Genomic DNA, 16,491 nt, shown 5'->3' on the forward strand with positions numbered 1-16,491 from the left:
CTGGGCACACTTATAGAAGTTCATTCTTTAGTGGAATTTCAAGAAGAAAAATATTTTAAAAAGACAACAGCTCTATCTTCTCTGTATAAAGAAAATTCATTGACAAAGGTTCTATACACCAATGTTACTGAAAAGCCATTATAGGCCCAGGTGCAGTCGCTCACTCCTGTAATCTCAGCACTTTGGGAGGTCGAGGTGGGTCTATCACCTGAGGTCAGGAGTTAGAGACCAGCCTACCCAACCTGGTGAATCCCCGTCTCTACTAAAAATACAAAAACACTAGCCTGGCTTGGTGGTGCACACCTGTAGTCCCAGCTACTCAGGAGGCTGGGGCAGGAGAATTGCTTGAACCTGGGAGGCAGAGGTCGCAGTGAGCCAAGATCATGCCACTTTACTCCAGCCTGGGCAACAGAGAGGGACTATGTCTCAAAAAAAAAAAATAAATAAAATAAAAATAAATAGCCATTATATTCTCTCCATTATTCAAACATGACCCTACTGAAACGTATCTGCATCAACACCACTTTAATACCGTGATAACATTCCTTATATGAGAGTGAAGATATAAATAATAAGTGGAGAGGACTCTACTTTTAGAAGGGAAATGGGTGACTAGTGTTAGCTTTATTGTACATATAATGCTCCATTGACATATGTCAACCAACTCCATTTTCAGTGCCCAATTGAAAGTTGTATAGCCACCACCTTTTCAAGACAATAGTATTAATAAATTCCAGTATGGTTTACTAACTGCCAAAGGTACCATTTAATACATCTTTCATTAAAAAATGTCAGGCCAAGCCGGGCACAGTGAATCATGCCTGTAATCCCAGCACTTTGAGAGGCCGAGGCAGGTGGATCACCTGAGGTCAGGGGTTCGAGACCAGCCTGGCCAATATGGTGAAACCCCTGTCTCTACTAAAAATTCAAAAATTAGCTGGGCATGGTGGCACATGCCTGTAGCCCCAGCTACTTGGGAGGCTGAAGCAGGAATATTGCTTGAACCCAGGTAGTGAAAGTTGCAGTGGGCAGAGATTGCACTACGTCACTCCAACCTGGGTGACAGAGTGAGACTCCATCTCAAAAACAAACAAACAAATAAATCCAGGCCATTAATTGTTTTATTTCTGGATCATCAAATAGAAATATATCTACCCAGAAGAAGAAACATGTTTTCCAAACAAAATCAAGCATTATGTGTAAAATCAAGCATGACCCTGCAGGAAGGTCTGGCCAGCACAGTGGCAGCACCAGTCAGGCTCTATAATTATTTACTTGTGTGTGAATCCTAGTGCCACTTTTTACCCCCTCCCACAGACCTGCAATGATTAACAAACTGTGATGATTAGAAAATAAATTACAGGTCCTTCCATAAATTATATCTGGAAACCTGCCTAGATTCTTTGTATAAGAAACACAAATTTAATTTCTATCTTCATACAAGCATAGAATTTACTTGGGTGAGGACTAATGGTAGATGTTGTTTATAAAGACAGAGAAAAGAAAATGTGATTATCAGTGATAAAAATAAATCCATGTTGTGTTGGTCTGAGTTTATTTAGGAAAAAATATTTACATAGAAAACCATTAGTGTTGATTTGTTCAGACAGCAGTATGAGAGAAAACGTGTTTCTCTTTACACTTATGGTGTCTCTAGCAGATGGTAAACTCCAAATAGTTATTTCACATTACGAAGAAATGTTTAATGAGTATCTGATAGGAGTGATTATTGCAGGGTTTAATAATCAATATCGCTGCAACTGAGTCTATTTAAAAATCTATTTACATGACTGTGTATAACCCTCTGAGTGAACCAATTTCACTAGCATTTTTGACTACCTACTACATGATATGAACTATATAACTGCGTGTGAGATTGCAGATCTACTGGATATATAAACTTAGGCCTGTCATAAACATAAGTGGACCCTTATTTAACTTTCATCTGTCAATTCTTTTTTAAAATAGTGTTGTATTTTGTTCTTTTTTTTTTTTTCCGGAAGAGATGAGTATAAAGTTGAGAAGTTGGTGGATTTTTTGCTATTATTCAGTAATGCAATCATATGATATATTTGGAGAAATGCTATGATCCTGATAGTATTATGGAAGGATGCATGATGCTTTCACCTATTTTCAAGGATGTAGATTATAAATAAATTGATGGTGTATCTCCTTAGAATCTTCTTCATTCTAATTTTTCCCTTTAACTCATTCCTTGAAATTTTTCAAAATAAGTGTTTAAAATGATAAAGAATACACACTCAGGAATAATTCTGCACTTAAAAGGGGGAAAATGCCCCTTGGCATATTCTTCAAAATACCTATAGTAAAAATCAAGTTAGTTTAGGTTTCATTCTTATAAAATGTGTTTCCTTTCACTTAACTTTCTTGTGACACAATTGCTGAAAATATACTGATGTTGGCAACTTCCCACCAAAAAGAATAAACCTCCTTTCTGTCACCCACTTGCACTAAAAATTAAAAGATGAACAGGGACCACATATTTGCCTATGCTAATTATAAACCATTCCAACCTGGAGGGTGGGAAGGAATCTTAACTAGCGACCTTTGAGTGGTTGCTTGGTTCATGTAACCATGTCAACTAGGTACTTCTGCTTTGTTCATGTACTTTGTGTTTTTCAGTCGAGGTGGTCCACTCACATTGCTTCTCAATTTCCCTAACCCATTCACCCTCCCCTAACAGCTAAGATGCTTCATTCTCCATCAATTCTACACAGTTTTTCCTACTAAGGGAGAATTCTTTTTGCCCTTTTCTGTGCTCATATAGTGCTTTTGTAGCATGCACTATTATCACTGGCTACTTTTCATTGTAAATGTTTGTTTTGCTTTCTTACTCCGGGACTGCAAAATTGCACAAATTCAGCAATACGATCGTCTGTTTCTTGGAACTCTGAGGATGAGGACTGTTACTCATCTTTATATATCCAGAATTTAGAACAGTGATTGGCACACTGTGGGTGTTGAGGAAATGTTTCACAAATGAATAAATAGCGAGTAGTCTGAAGTAGCCAGAAGTATTTTAGGAAGAGACTTCTGGTGGGAATGAGTATGTGTGGTGCCTGGGCAGAGGAAGAGACCACGGACAGCAGTTTGGATAGGCGATTACTGTAAAAGATAATGAAGGGTTTGCCAAAGTGGTGATGATGGGAATGGAGAGGTGGAGGCAGATGCAGGAGATATTTATTTCCTAGGCTTTTTCTTAAAGCTCTTTTCCCCTCCCTCTTAATGTTATGATTTGCTTAGGTGAACTAAACTTAGTCCCACTTTTTGGCCTGTTTTAATGCACCTATTTTGAATAACAAATGATGACAATGAACAAAAGAACACAAGGTTGAAGTAGAAAATTTAAATGTTTTAGCAAGAAAACAAAAACAAAAACCACCAATCATCTCATTTGTGATAAACAAACACAGTTAACATTTGGTTGATAGCCTCCGGGGCTTTTTATTGGTAAGAATTTGGAGACAATCTGGTAGAATGGTTACCATGACAGACTCAACTGCATTCAAATTCTGGCTCTGATATCTGCTGTGAAATATTTGGCAAAACGTGCTCTATTTCTCTCATGTGTACAGTGGGGATTATAATGATTGTACTTAGTTCATGGGATTGTTCTGAGGATTGCGGAAGCTGATAAAATTAAAGCACTAAGTTCAGTTCCTGGAACATAGGACATAAATATATATCCTATTCATATATATATAACAACCATATCAACGTATAAATATGGTTTATAAACTAAACTTTCTTCCTTCTTAATGGTATAAATAAGACCTTTCCATATTTATCCATAGCATCCATACTAATGATTGCATAGCATTCATTTGTATGACAAACCCTCATTTTCTTAATATTTTTATCGTATTTTATTTTTAGAAATGTATAATTCTCATTTCATAGTTTAATCTTCATGCAAATCTAAGACTATTTCTCTATGATTAATTTTCAGAAGATTAGTCACTGGGTTAAATAGTATGAATATTTTTCAGGTGTTTGATACAAATGCCAGACTGCCTTCGAGAATACCATGCTTTCTAGCACCAATACAGTGTTTGTTGTTGTTGCTGTTTGTTCTGCTTTTTAATCTGGGCCAGTTTAATAGGTGAGAAGAAAGATTCCTATTTTAATTTACATTTATTTGAGTACTGGAAGATGAGCATCTTTAATTTTTTTAGGTCTTTAGGATTTTTTTGTGAACAGCCTAGCTGTATCTTTTTCCAACTTTTCTATTGGTACGTGCATCTTTTTTATTGACGTGTTAGAAATGTAATCATTGCTAAATTATTTTTGGAGGGTGATGAAGTTCAAAGGATCTAAAATGACTGCCTTATATATTTGATATGTTCAGTTTATCAACATGACATTAACAATCTTTTGTAATTTTTGAATGACAGAAAGGTAGTTTTATATGGTTTAACCTAACAATTTAAGGCTTTGTGAAATTGTCAGGCAATTCATACATTGCCTCAGACTTACACCTTAATTTTGTGATTTGGCTTATGCAACTCTATTAGACTATTTTCAATTATATGTTTGCTTGAAAAATTGGTGTTATTGAGCACTTCTAAATCACTGGGTACTGTCTCCTTGCCTCTGTGGACAAAAGATTTGGGATACAGTTGCCAAAATGTAGGACTAAATTTAATTTTCCAACAACTTGTGAATGGCATTATCCTACTATTGCACTGTAGACTACAAACATTTTAATTTACAGAGCTGGTAGAGCTTTACTTTGTAAACACTTATGTTGTCTAAGGAACTTTAATACATTATCACATTTGATTCTTCTTTAATGTAATTTTTGATTTTCGATTTTTGTGAATACACAGTAGGTATATATATTTATGGGGTATATGAGATGTTTTGATACAGGCATGCAATGTGAAATAGTCACATCATGAAGAAGAGAGTATCCACCCCCTCAAGCCTTGATCATTTGTGTTAGCAATAATCCAAATATACTCTTTCAGTTATTTTAAAATGTGCAATTAAATTATTATTGGCTACAGTGACCTGGTTGTGCTAGCAAATTGTAGGTCTTATACATTCTTCGAAACTATTTTTTTGGAACCCATTAACCTTCTCCACCTCCCACATCAACCCTCCACTACCCTTCCCAGCCTCTGGTAACCATCCTTCTACTCTCTGTGTCCACTGAATTCTCATTTGATTCTGACAATAACTTGGTGAAGGACACAGGGCAACCCCCCTGTTATTATAGAAAAAAACACTGAGGCTCCGAGGAGTTAAGTGATGTCCAGAGGCTTGACAGCTAATAAACAGCAGAGTCTGGCCTAGCATCCAAGTCTTCTGACTTCAAGTCTAGTGCTTCTTTCCTGTATTCCTTGATCATTGAATCACTTGACCTGGAAATATGTGCTTTCACCTTTGTCAGAAAAATAAAGCCACTGGGATTTGAATCCTGGTGAGAAGCAATAATGTGAAGCTTCCAAATTCCATTGCTCTGTTTTTATTGTGTCTGTCTTATTTTAGAAACATATGTTTTAGGATGTACTGTGTAAATGCCAGTTTCAATTTTACAATGGAAAGTGAAAAACAGTGGCATGAGAAAATGTATATTTCACTTATATGTATGGCTTTCCCAAGGACATGTTTCACTTTCAGTGGATTTCACAGTTTTTTTGTTATTTTATTTTATTTTTTTAGTGACATAGCCTTGGAGTAATGTTAAGTTACTCATAAAGAAGGGATTTTAATGAATATCTGTGGAAGATACTCTTATTTATTGCTGGTGCCTTTCTTTCACTAACTAAATGTTATAGCCAGTCTCTGGAGCACATCATGATACTGAACCAGTTTTTCATCACCAGTTTCCATTCTCTTTTGAGCTCCCACACCCAGAAACCATCATGCAGAGGATCAATGGCCTTGTAGTGTAATCTGTTCTTTTTCTGTGAGTTACTGTTCCAGTCTGGTTCCTCCTGTGCTGAATTACTTCTTTCATGAAATAACCAAAATGAGGTGGGGGAGAGGATTGGGCAGGATCTCAGTATTTTTTGAAATGTTTTGAAGAGTAATTGAAAATTTAAACAAAATCAAAGAGAGAAAGCGTGGCCAAGCTGTGTGTGAGTTATTTTGAATTTACAAAACTGTTGTACACATGTTTTTAAATATATATCCAGTTAAGAAATAGTGCCTGCAAGAACAGATTAGAACTGGGATGTAAATGAAAAATCTATATATGGATAAAAATCTTCTATATTATGAGGATATACTTGGTTTTGGACAAAAAAATAAAAAATAAAAAATAAACCTTTCCTTCAGAAATCTCTCAGAAGGGAACAATTTCTCTGGGGACCATTCATTTCATTTGTCAACGATTCACTTCTACCTGCTGAATTACAGAGTCCTGATTAGCTTTCATACTTTATAAGAATCGATACTTTACTTGTCAAACATGATTCAACATTTGTCAATTGTACTTGGAAATACAAACAATTCAAAATATGTCTCAATCTCAGAGGATGTCCAACTTCTATTATTTTAATTTTTAATTTTAGTATTTAAAATTTTTTTTAACTTTTAATTTTTGTGTGTGCATAGTATTAAGTGTATATATTTGTAGAGTACATGAGATACTTCGATATAGGCATATAATGCATAATAATCACATCATGATAAATGGAATAAATAACCCCTCAAGCATTTATCCTTTGTGTTACAAACAATCCAATTATATACTTTTAGTTATTTTAAAATATACAATTAATTATCATTAACTATACCCTATTTTTATTAATAATGCTATACCATAGTATTATTTTATTAATAACACTATACCGTAGTATTATTTTATTAATAGCACTATACCATAGTATTACTTTATTAATAGCACTATACTGTAGTATTACTTTATTAATAGCAGTATGCTGTAGTGTTATTTTATTAATAGCACTATACCATAGTATTATTTTATTAATAGCACTGTACTGTAGTATTATTTTATTAATAGCACTATACCATAGTATCATTTTATTAATAGCACTATACCGTAGTATCATTTTATTAATAGCGCTATACCGTAGTATCATTTTATTAATAGCGCTATACCGTAGTATTTTATTAATAGTGCTATACCGTAGTGTCATTTTGTTAATAGCACTATACCGTAGTGTCATTTTATTAATGGCACTATACCGTAGCATCACTTTATTAATGGCACTATACCATAGCATCACTTTATTAATGGCACTATACCATAGCATCACTTTATTAATGGCACTATACCGTAGCATCACTTTATTAATGGCACTATACCATAGTATTATTTTATTAATGGCACGATACCATAGTATTATTTTATTAATAGCACTATACCATAGTATTATTTTATTAATAGCACTATACTGTAGTATCATTTTATTAATAGCACTATACCATAGTATCATTTTATTAATAGCACTATGCCATAGTATTATTTTATTAATAACATTATCAGATTTCCTAAAATATGTATAGCTTTTCATACCTAAATTTCTACATTATGGTATTAAAAGCTATACATATTTTAGGAAATCTGATCATAAAATGCATGTAGAAAGGTCTGTGAGGAAACATTTAATACTGGTACTTATATTCAGGTCAACATCTGGGTAAAAATGGGACTATAAGAATAATATACATATATTCTCTTTGTGATTAGTTGAAAGCTAGATCACCAAATTTAAAAGGATGGATTCACTTGTAAATAACTTTGAGTGTGTGTCTTTGAGCTTTTTATGGCTCAGTTCTCTATGTAAAGGTATTTGAAAAATGTTAGCATCTCCTTATATCGGTAATGTTTGTAGCAATTAAAATACTATGTTAATGCAGAGTAACATAGAAAGGTTGCTTGCATTTCAACCTTTGTAGTTTGGAAACCATTTAGAAATGTATTTCCTTATCCACTTTGCTATTATGGAGCTAAGTGCTTGGAATATTATTTGAAGTGAGATTTCTATGAAATAAAATGAAACACAACGGAAATGTGTATTTTTATATTTGCCTTTCAACCGATAATACAGCATCTCCATGCGGATTGAATCCAAGCCTGTAACACAGTGAAGCCTCCTATTAGCAACAGTTCTGTGAGGCTCTTTGCTGAGGGTCTGCCTGTGTGCCATTCCTTCATGACAGCCATCCTCCTTTGATGACAATGTTCCTTTTATTGTGTTTATGAACTTGTTAAGAATTGTAGGAACCATGTTTGGAGATGACACTGTTTCTACATTAAACGTTTGAACTTTAAATATAAATACAAGCAGAATTGAAGCTATGAAATTGGTCTGCCCTACTGTGTCTATTATATTGGGAGGGAAAGAGAATTGTAGAAGTAGGAGGTTGTAAGAAGGAAAGATTAATTGTTTAATTACAGCTGAATAGGAGAATAAAGGTAACAGGCTCATTGCATAATATCTAATAATATCCAACCCCAACACACACACACGATAGAACAACATTGTTTTTGCCCAAAATTACTATTTTACAGAAAAGATTTATAATTACAGAGCTAAAAAGTAACATTCTGGAAAGATTAATATGCATATAGCACCAACAATGTTGTCAAACTTAAACTGAGTTTTCACCGTCCTGATAAATTGATAGAAGCTGTTCTTATCCACCCTAATCAAAGTTACTTTTTCTGTTTCTTTATAAATATATGTATTCAAATGAAAATCATAGTCCTAGTTTGCTCTCTGATCCCAGTTTAATGAAGGTAGTCAGGAAAGGTCTTTTGAGGAGGTGCTATTTGAACTGAGTCCTGATGGGACTACCGTGGGAAGGAGGTGTCCATGCTGAGTTGGAGAATGGCTTTCAAAGCAGAAGGAATGGAAAATGCAAAAGCCCTCAGAGGGAGTGAGCTTGCTATGGGGATGGGTGAGAGAGGTTAAAAAGAGTGGGAATGAGGTGAGGTTGGAGAATTCTGCAGAAGGCAGATTTTGCTGGACCTTGAAGACTATGATATGGAATTTGGATTTTTAATTACAAGGAGAACCCATGGAATGTTTGAAGAAGGAAAGTGACATCTAATGTTCATTTTAGAAGGATTATCCTTGTTTTTCTGTGTAGAAAGAAACAGAAAACAGGAGAGACCTTTGCAGTCATTTGAGCAAAATATACTGGTTCAGTTATGTATTCATTTGTCCAGTCAACAAAAATTCACTGGAGTCCCACCATATGCCAAGGAACTGCTGTAAGTCCTGGGGATACCATGGTTATTAAGGTAAGGATCTTACTCTCATGGAGTTTTGACTAGTAGGAGGTTCAGTAGTGTTAAGTCCCATGAAGACAATACAGGTAATTCAATGGAATGGGAGTATCTAATTACATTGAGTGTCAGGGTCATGGTGGATCCTGAATGACTACAGGAAGCCAAGCATGAGAAAATCTCCAGAAAGAACTTCAACCCAAGGGAAGCACGAGTGCAAAGGGCCTAAGATGAGAGCACGCCAGGCATAAAACAACAACATTGTGTCTGGAGGATTGAGTGACGGCGGCGTGGGCGGGGGAAGTATCTGGCAACTAGAGGGAATCAGCTGCAGCCTCATTAGCTGGGTGAAGTGACTTTCTGTGAGACTGTTGGGCAAATGGGCATGGAGAGAGAGAAAGAGATAAAGATTGAAGAGGAGTTTATGGTGCTGTGTCAACTATTAATGTTTCCTTGGGACTAGCACAGGATGTATCCACCTGGTTAGGAGCCCCACACTCCTCAGGCCGTCATGTATAAAGCAGTTGGCTCATGAACTTCATTTTTGTCAAATTCCTGTTATCTTATTTAAATGGTAGTACTGGCTTTTAGCATTATTGTTATTTTGTTTTAAAAAAAACATTCTTAATGATAATTGTCAGGAATTGATTTTCTGCTCACTACTTTACTAAATTCTAAAATGACTATTGCTTAGAGGCAGATAAAATATCTTGTTCTTTAAGAACAACGTCGAGCTATATACATTGGGAATATCCCTCACACTGTTTAAAACCATATTGCTTTAAGTGGTGTATAATGCAACATTTATTGAACTATTTGAAAGTCCCTAATGTGCAGATTCACGTGAAATTACCCCATGTGTCTAGTTTGCACCACTTAACATCCTTTTAATGGAAGCAGGTGGAAAATGTGAAAAAAAAAATGACTAAAATGGCTGTCTTGCCTATTGTTTGAGCATGTAGTTGTTCTGACCAGAAAGTGAAAATTATTGAAAAGGAAAGTTGTTTTTTATTAGCTTGAAGACCTGTTCCAGAACTGTTATTAAAGTGGATGCTAAGTGGAGTATGTGACATTTGCTTCATATGCACAGTGGATGATTGATTCCCTCAGCCTAACTGATAGAGTATTTTTTCTCCTGACCTTGGTGCAATTACATTATAGTTGCAATTTTCAACATTATATTTTAATAGAATTTTTGAATCTCTTTGTTATTAATAAAGTTAAATATAATCAGAAATGAAAATCTCTGCTGAAATATTCACCTTGATACACTTCCACTTTGGGCTGCTTCCAGTTCCCGTCATTGCTTTGCCCAGAGTAAGCAATAAATGCACATTTGTTGGATTGGATGGGCACTCTTCCCCCACGATTATTCCATCTCAAAAAGACCAAGGTGTTTTTCTTCAAATGGAAAAGTCTTCTAAGCAACACCCTCGAAATATGAAATCAGCAACAAAATTCATTACTTGAGATTTTTCATTTAGAGAAATGATCATAATGACATGCTGTGTTCACAAGTGAGATTTTCTGTCTTTAAGCTCTTAAAGTATAGTTTGCCTTTAAATTGCCTCCTTTTCTAAATCAAACACAGATTAAACACCCACATAATTACTTTTCGGATAGTTTCTTTGCCACTGCATGGATGTGGAATGTGTTGAAAATTTGTAGTTATTATTGTTTGAATTTTAAGAGCTAAAATAATAAAACAGTTATGAAAACAAAAATCACCTACAATCTATTGAGGTAATATATGGTGTGGTTCCTTTCAGTCTTTTTTCTTTGCGTATATTATTTGAACTTAATATAAGAAGTTTTGAAGATGAGTGAATGTATGCCAATATTTGCTCAGAACAAAAGACAGGCAGATTTAGTTGGCAGATTATTCATATTTAGGGTGATACTTAACTGGTATTCCAAACATATTTTTACAGTAGAATAATATCACTACACTGAATTAACTGTCCAAAATATAGCTAAAATTTTTTTAAAAGCTTCCTCAAAGGTTTTCTCTGTAAAAAAGGTCTTCTTTGTCTGCTCTTGATGGTTCTAGTTAGCAACATGAGAGAGAGAATATGCTTACACAAATTAAATGAAGGCCTTAAAAAGCACAGAGTAGAGATTTAATTAAAGACTGTTTTCCATATAAATTTGTGCTGAAAAGGAAATGTTGGTTGCTTAGGATGCACATTATTTTAATGCTGGGAGTCAGCATTGGGTAGTGGTTAGAAACAGACATGGTGGTCACACCCCACCAGCTCCCCGTTTGTTAGCCCAGTGGCATGGGGCAAATTACTTAACCTCTTTCAGAGTCCCTATAAAACAACCTGTAGTAATATCTGCCTCATATGATTCTGTTAAGGAATAAATTAAACAATGCTTGCCTTGCAGTTTTAGGGACATGAGAAAAATTAATAAAAATAACCATCACACAGGACTGAATGTCTTCCGATCAGGCCAGGTGTATCTCATCCCATAACTGTTAATCAATTGTAGAACATGTTCTCTAAGCAGGACAGAAAGTTGAGAAAGAGCTAAAAATATCTTAGGATTCCATGTTTATAAAAGAAAAAGTCAAATGTCCCTGAATATTGAGTAATACATTTCTCATTGCTTAATATTAGGAGAATGTCTAGAAACACTGTTTCAGAATTTTTTCCTTTTTATTTACATCCAGAAATTACATAAAGCAAAAATGTTTTTGTTATTCCACAAAGGATAATATGAATTTCAAGTAATTTATTGCTTTCAGTTGTTTTCAGATCTGTTTAAATGTGCTTATTTTTTCCGCGGTTGCTAAGTTATTGTAGTTGGACTTGATCGTCTCTCTGGGAATGATTTCTTCTTGAGCATTATTTTCTCTGCTCAGATGATTCCACCTTCTCCACCACTCCGCCACCAACAGACTTCTGATATTTTCTTGACTAATGGAGGTGTGATCATTTTCTCTTTTGACCTTATAAAATAATGAGAGCTGCTGGAGTGCCCTTTGAGTTAAATCAATAGAAAGTGCTTCATGTATAATATCTCATTAATAGAGATGGCTAATGGCAAATGTGGGACAGTTTATGCAGCTGACAAGCAAAGCACCTGCCAGTATTTAAGGAATGGATGACCTGTGACCACCGAGACACTTGAGAAAAAGTACAACTTCCGTATCTGGTGGAAATCTGCTCCTACCCTCCTTTGCAAGAGAGGATATTGTGTCTGGCTTTTCTTTGGTTCATAGCTGTGCCGCTTCTTTTTTCCAGATACATTTTAAGGGTTTCAGTGTGCCCCATGGTGGGTTCCCTGGGAAAAACACTCTGAGACAGATATTTGAGTGCAGGAAGTTTATCTCAAGAGAGAGAAAGAAACAGGATTGGGCAGAAGGAAAAGTTGAGCTTTGCTATAGTTGCCACGAGGCCCTCAGCTGGTGTCACCTCTGAGGCCATCTGCCTCTGTGATGGTCCTTCAGAGCTCTCAAGATTGAGGCAGGGAAGCTCAGCCCTCGTGCCCCAGCATCGACCAAGTTATTGGATGTTGGTTGTGTTAGGGTTAGGGCATAATCTTAGGCAAAGCAGCTCTCTTCAGCTAAGGTTGGATCCCGGAGAGAAACTCGGCTGTAAGCTGTTGGCAGCCAACCCTTCTGGCAGCTGAGACATCTCCTGTCCCATCCATTCCTCCATCCTGATGCGGGGATCTGAATGTCCCACCACCACACCTACTACGCAGTGCAACATGGAGGAGTTGGCCTTAAATTTCCACTGAACTCTAAAAATCTTTTAAGACTCTGATGTTAGTAGCAGAAAATAGCAAATACATGGTATCATCATCATCATCATCATCTTCATCATCATCATTTTTAAGTTTAAAAATACATGTAATACTGAGGTTGTTTTTGTTGTTTTGTCTACAGATAATAGAAAAAAAATGTGTGAGAGAGAGGTTTTTGGTCTTATTTGTCAAACGTTTTCATTGAATTATTTTATTCCAGTTTAGTTTTGCTGTTGGAACTTAAAGTTAAGAAGCCTTGACTTCTGTGTCATATGTTTCCCGTAGATTATTTGGAAACAGGACCACATTTGAAGTTACTGGGAATATTAGGCCCTTCTCTGGGGAAACACTACCTTTCTTCATGGATGTTTGGTTATGGGACATAGTACTTTCTAAATGTTGTGCACCTACCCCCAACACACAGACCACCTGATCCTAGTGATGAGTGTTTGGGATATACCTGTCACTTTCAGGGCTGGGACAAGGGTAGGGCAAATGAAATACTTACTTTGGGTGCAAGATTCAAAAAGTAATCCAAAAAATTTTCAAAAATTAATATATTTAATGCAATATTTTAAAATGAAAATTAATGCAAAATTCGTGATGAATGAATTACAAAAGTTTTAAGTAGAGACAGTATTTTTTATTTTACTTTTTGCCTCAGCTTTTACTGTGGCTCGGCTGGGTACTGGCCACTTTAGCAACATTGAAATAATCTGATACACCGATTCCCACTTCCATGTACTTGGTTGAATGATCAGTTCCAAAAGCACCTCAAATGAAATCTATGTAAATACTTCCTATCAATTCTAAAAACGTAGGGAAAGGAATATATTTAAATGTATGAGTTCATTGTACACCAACCACAACCTAAGGCAGACCTCTGGGAGCTGGAAGCTGGCATCAGGCTGAAGAAGATGGAAATGAGAAAAGGATCAAAAGATTAAACCGGTTTCACCAAACAGTCAATTCCAGGACACAGCCAGCGGTCAAATCCCAGAGTCACTGAGTTTCAAAGCTGAGAATCAGTCCTGGAGTCAAAGCCAAGTCGAAATAGTGTAAGGATCACCATGCTCCAGTAATCTCAGAAGAGAGTTTGTTGTGAAACCAGCACTGCTTGGCTTCCTTTCTAGTGACTGATCTTGTCAATTCCTAAATTAAAAACTGCAAACCTCTCACCATTTCCTATGGCATAAATTCCAAACTTCACATAATATGGCTTTCATGTGTCTCACCCCTCTCCCAGCTCCACTTTCACAAAGCACATTACAAGGCAAATGTCGCAAATACAGACAGCTCTGGCTGCAGCCACAATACCCTCCCTACCCACTCCCTTAGGCACAGGTGCCCTGCAGCCCACGGCTTTATTTCCTTCTTTGATTTCTCCTCCCGCCAAATGACTGCTCCAAAGCAAGATTTAATTGAATGTCATTTCCTCTTTGAAGCCTTTACCACCTCTCCCAGGTTGGGCTAAGGGCAGAAACTTCTTCCTCACTTAGAGCCCATTGTACTGATATATAATTACATGTTTACATGTCTGTCTCCTAATAGGCTTTTATTTGTTGTTTTGTTAGTAACATTACTAGTAGTGATGAAAATTATTGTAACAGAAACTGTTTAGATGATACTTCCTATAGCTTCTATAGTCTAGGCAATGGTAAAAGTGTTTTTATTTTATTTTATTTTATTATTATTATACTTTAAGTTTTAGGGTACATGTGCACAATGTGCAAGTTAGTTACATATGTATACATGTGCCATGCTGGTGTGCTGCACCCATTAACTCGTCATCTAGCATTAGGTATATCTCCTAAAGCTATCCCTTCCCCCTCCCCCCACCCCACAACAGTCCCCAGAGTGTGATGTTCCCCTTCCTGTGTCCATGTGTTCTCATTGTTCAGTTCCCACCTATGAGTGAGAATATGCAGTGTTTGGTTTTTTTGTTCTTGCGATAGTTTACTGAGAAGGATGATTTCCAATTTCATCCATGTCCCCACAAAGGACATGAACTCATCATTTTTTATGGCTGCATAGTATTCCATGGTGTATATGTGCCACATTTTCTTAATCCGGTCTATCATTGTTGGACATTTGGGTTGGTTCCAAGTCTTTGCTATTGTGAATAGTGCCGCAATAAACATACATGTGCATGTGTCTTTATAGCAGCATGATTTATAGTCCTTTGGGTATACACCCAGTAATGGGATGGCTGAGTCAAATGGTATTTCTAGTTCTAGATCCCTGAGGAATCGCCACACTGACTTCCACAATGGTTGAACTAGTTTACAGTCCCACCAACAGTGTAAAAGTGTTCCTATTTCTCCACATCCTCTCCAGCACCTGTTGTTTCCTGACATTTTAATGATTGCCATTCTAACTGGTGTGAGATGGTATCTCATTGTGGTTTTGATTTGCATTTCTCTGATGGCCAGTGATGGTGAGCATTTTTTCATGTATTTTTTGGCTGCATAAATGTCTTCTTTTGAGAAGTGTCTGTTCATGTCCTTCGCCCACTTTTTGATGGGGTTGTTTGTTTTTTTCTTGTAAATTTGTTTGAGTTCATTGTAGATTCTGGATATTAGCCCTTTGTCAGATGAGTAGGTTGCGAAAATTTTCTCCCATTTTGTAGGTTGCCTCTTATGCCATCTCCATCAAGCTACCAATGACTTTCTTCACAGAATTGGAAAAAACTACTTTAAAGTTCATATGGAACCAAAAAAGAGCCTGCATCGCCAAGTCAATCCTAAGCCAAAAGAACAAAGCTGGAGGCATCACACTACCTGACTTCAAACTATACTACAAGGCTACAGTAACCAAAACAGCATGGTACTGGTACCAAAACAGAGATATAGATCAATGGAACAGAACAGAGCCCTCAGAAATAACGCCACATATCTACAACTATCTGATCTTTGACAAACCTGAGAAAAACAAGCAATGGGGAAAGGATTCCCTATTTAACAAATGGTGCTGGGAAAACTGGCTAGCCATATGTAGAAAGCTGAAACGGGAAAAGTGTTTTCAATGTGATGTTTCACTTGCTATCAATAAATTTCCTATTATCACATTATCACTTCATTCTATACTATTTCATATCCTCTTCATCTTATTTATGAATGAACCAAGGCTTAGGGAGCCTTCAACCTTGCCTGAGGTTACATTCATCTTTAAACTTCCAGCCCCTAGCACAGCAATAGCCTCATAAGCACACACAATAGTCCGTTCAGTGCAAAATGAGTGCACGATGGTTGTGATCAGCCAGAACAAGTGGAAATCCAGATCATGTTTGCATTCCACATGTATACAGATACCTACACATGCAGGCTTGTAGACTTAGTTTACTTTTAGAAAAGTTTTATGCAGTCAGTATTCCTTGAGAATAAAGCTTTTAGACACATGCAATGAATTTTCTCTTGTGAAATAATTATTCACACCATGATAACTTCAGTACTAGTATTCTGCTGAAATTTGATGAATTTGAGTACAGCAAACTCAATTAGCTATATTCT

At 36.2% G+C, this 16,491-nt stretch overlaps 1 protein-coding gene across 2 annotated transcripts in view, besides 1 other annotated feature; it reads left to right on the forward strand.

The window, feature by feature from the left end:
* Positions 1–16,491, forward strand: part of GPC6 (glypican 6) — a 1,191,492-nt gene that overhangs the window by 195,046 nt on the left and 979,955 nt on the right. The gene's annotated exons all lie outside the window — the stretch shown is intronic.
* Positions 2,308–2,850: an enhancer, noted in NCBI's record as "OCT4-NANOG hESC enhancer chr13:94066135-94066677 (GRCh37/hg19 assembly coordinates)". NCBI's record gives its function as "activates a minimal SCP1, AML or CMV promoter by ChIP-STARR-seq in naive H9 embryonic stem cells {active_cell/tissue: H9 hESC(naive)}" and the evidence as "EXISTENCE:reporter gene assay evidence [ECO:0000049][PMID:30033119]".

Source organism: Homo sapiens, chromosome 13 (assembly GCF_000001405.40).
Source record: "Homo sapiens chromosome 13, GRCh38.p14 Primary Assembly".
NCBI classification, from domain to species: Eukaryota; Metazoa; Chordata; class Mammalia; order Primates; family Hominidae; genus Homo; species Homo sapiens.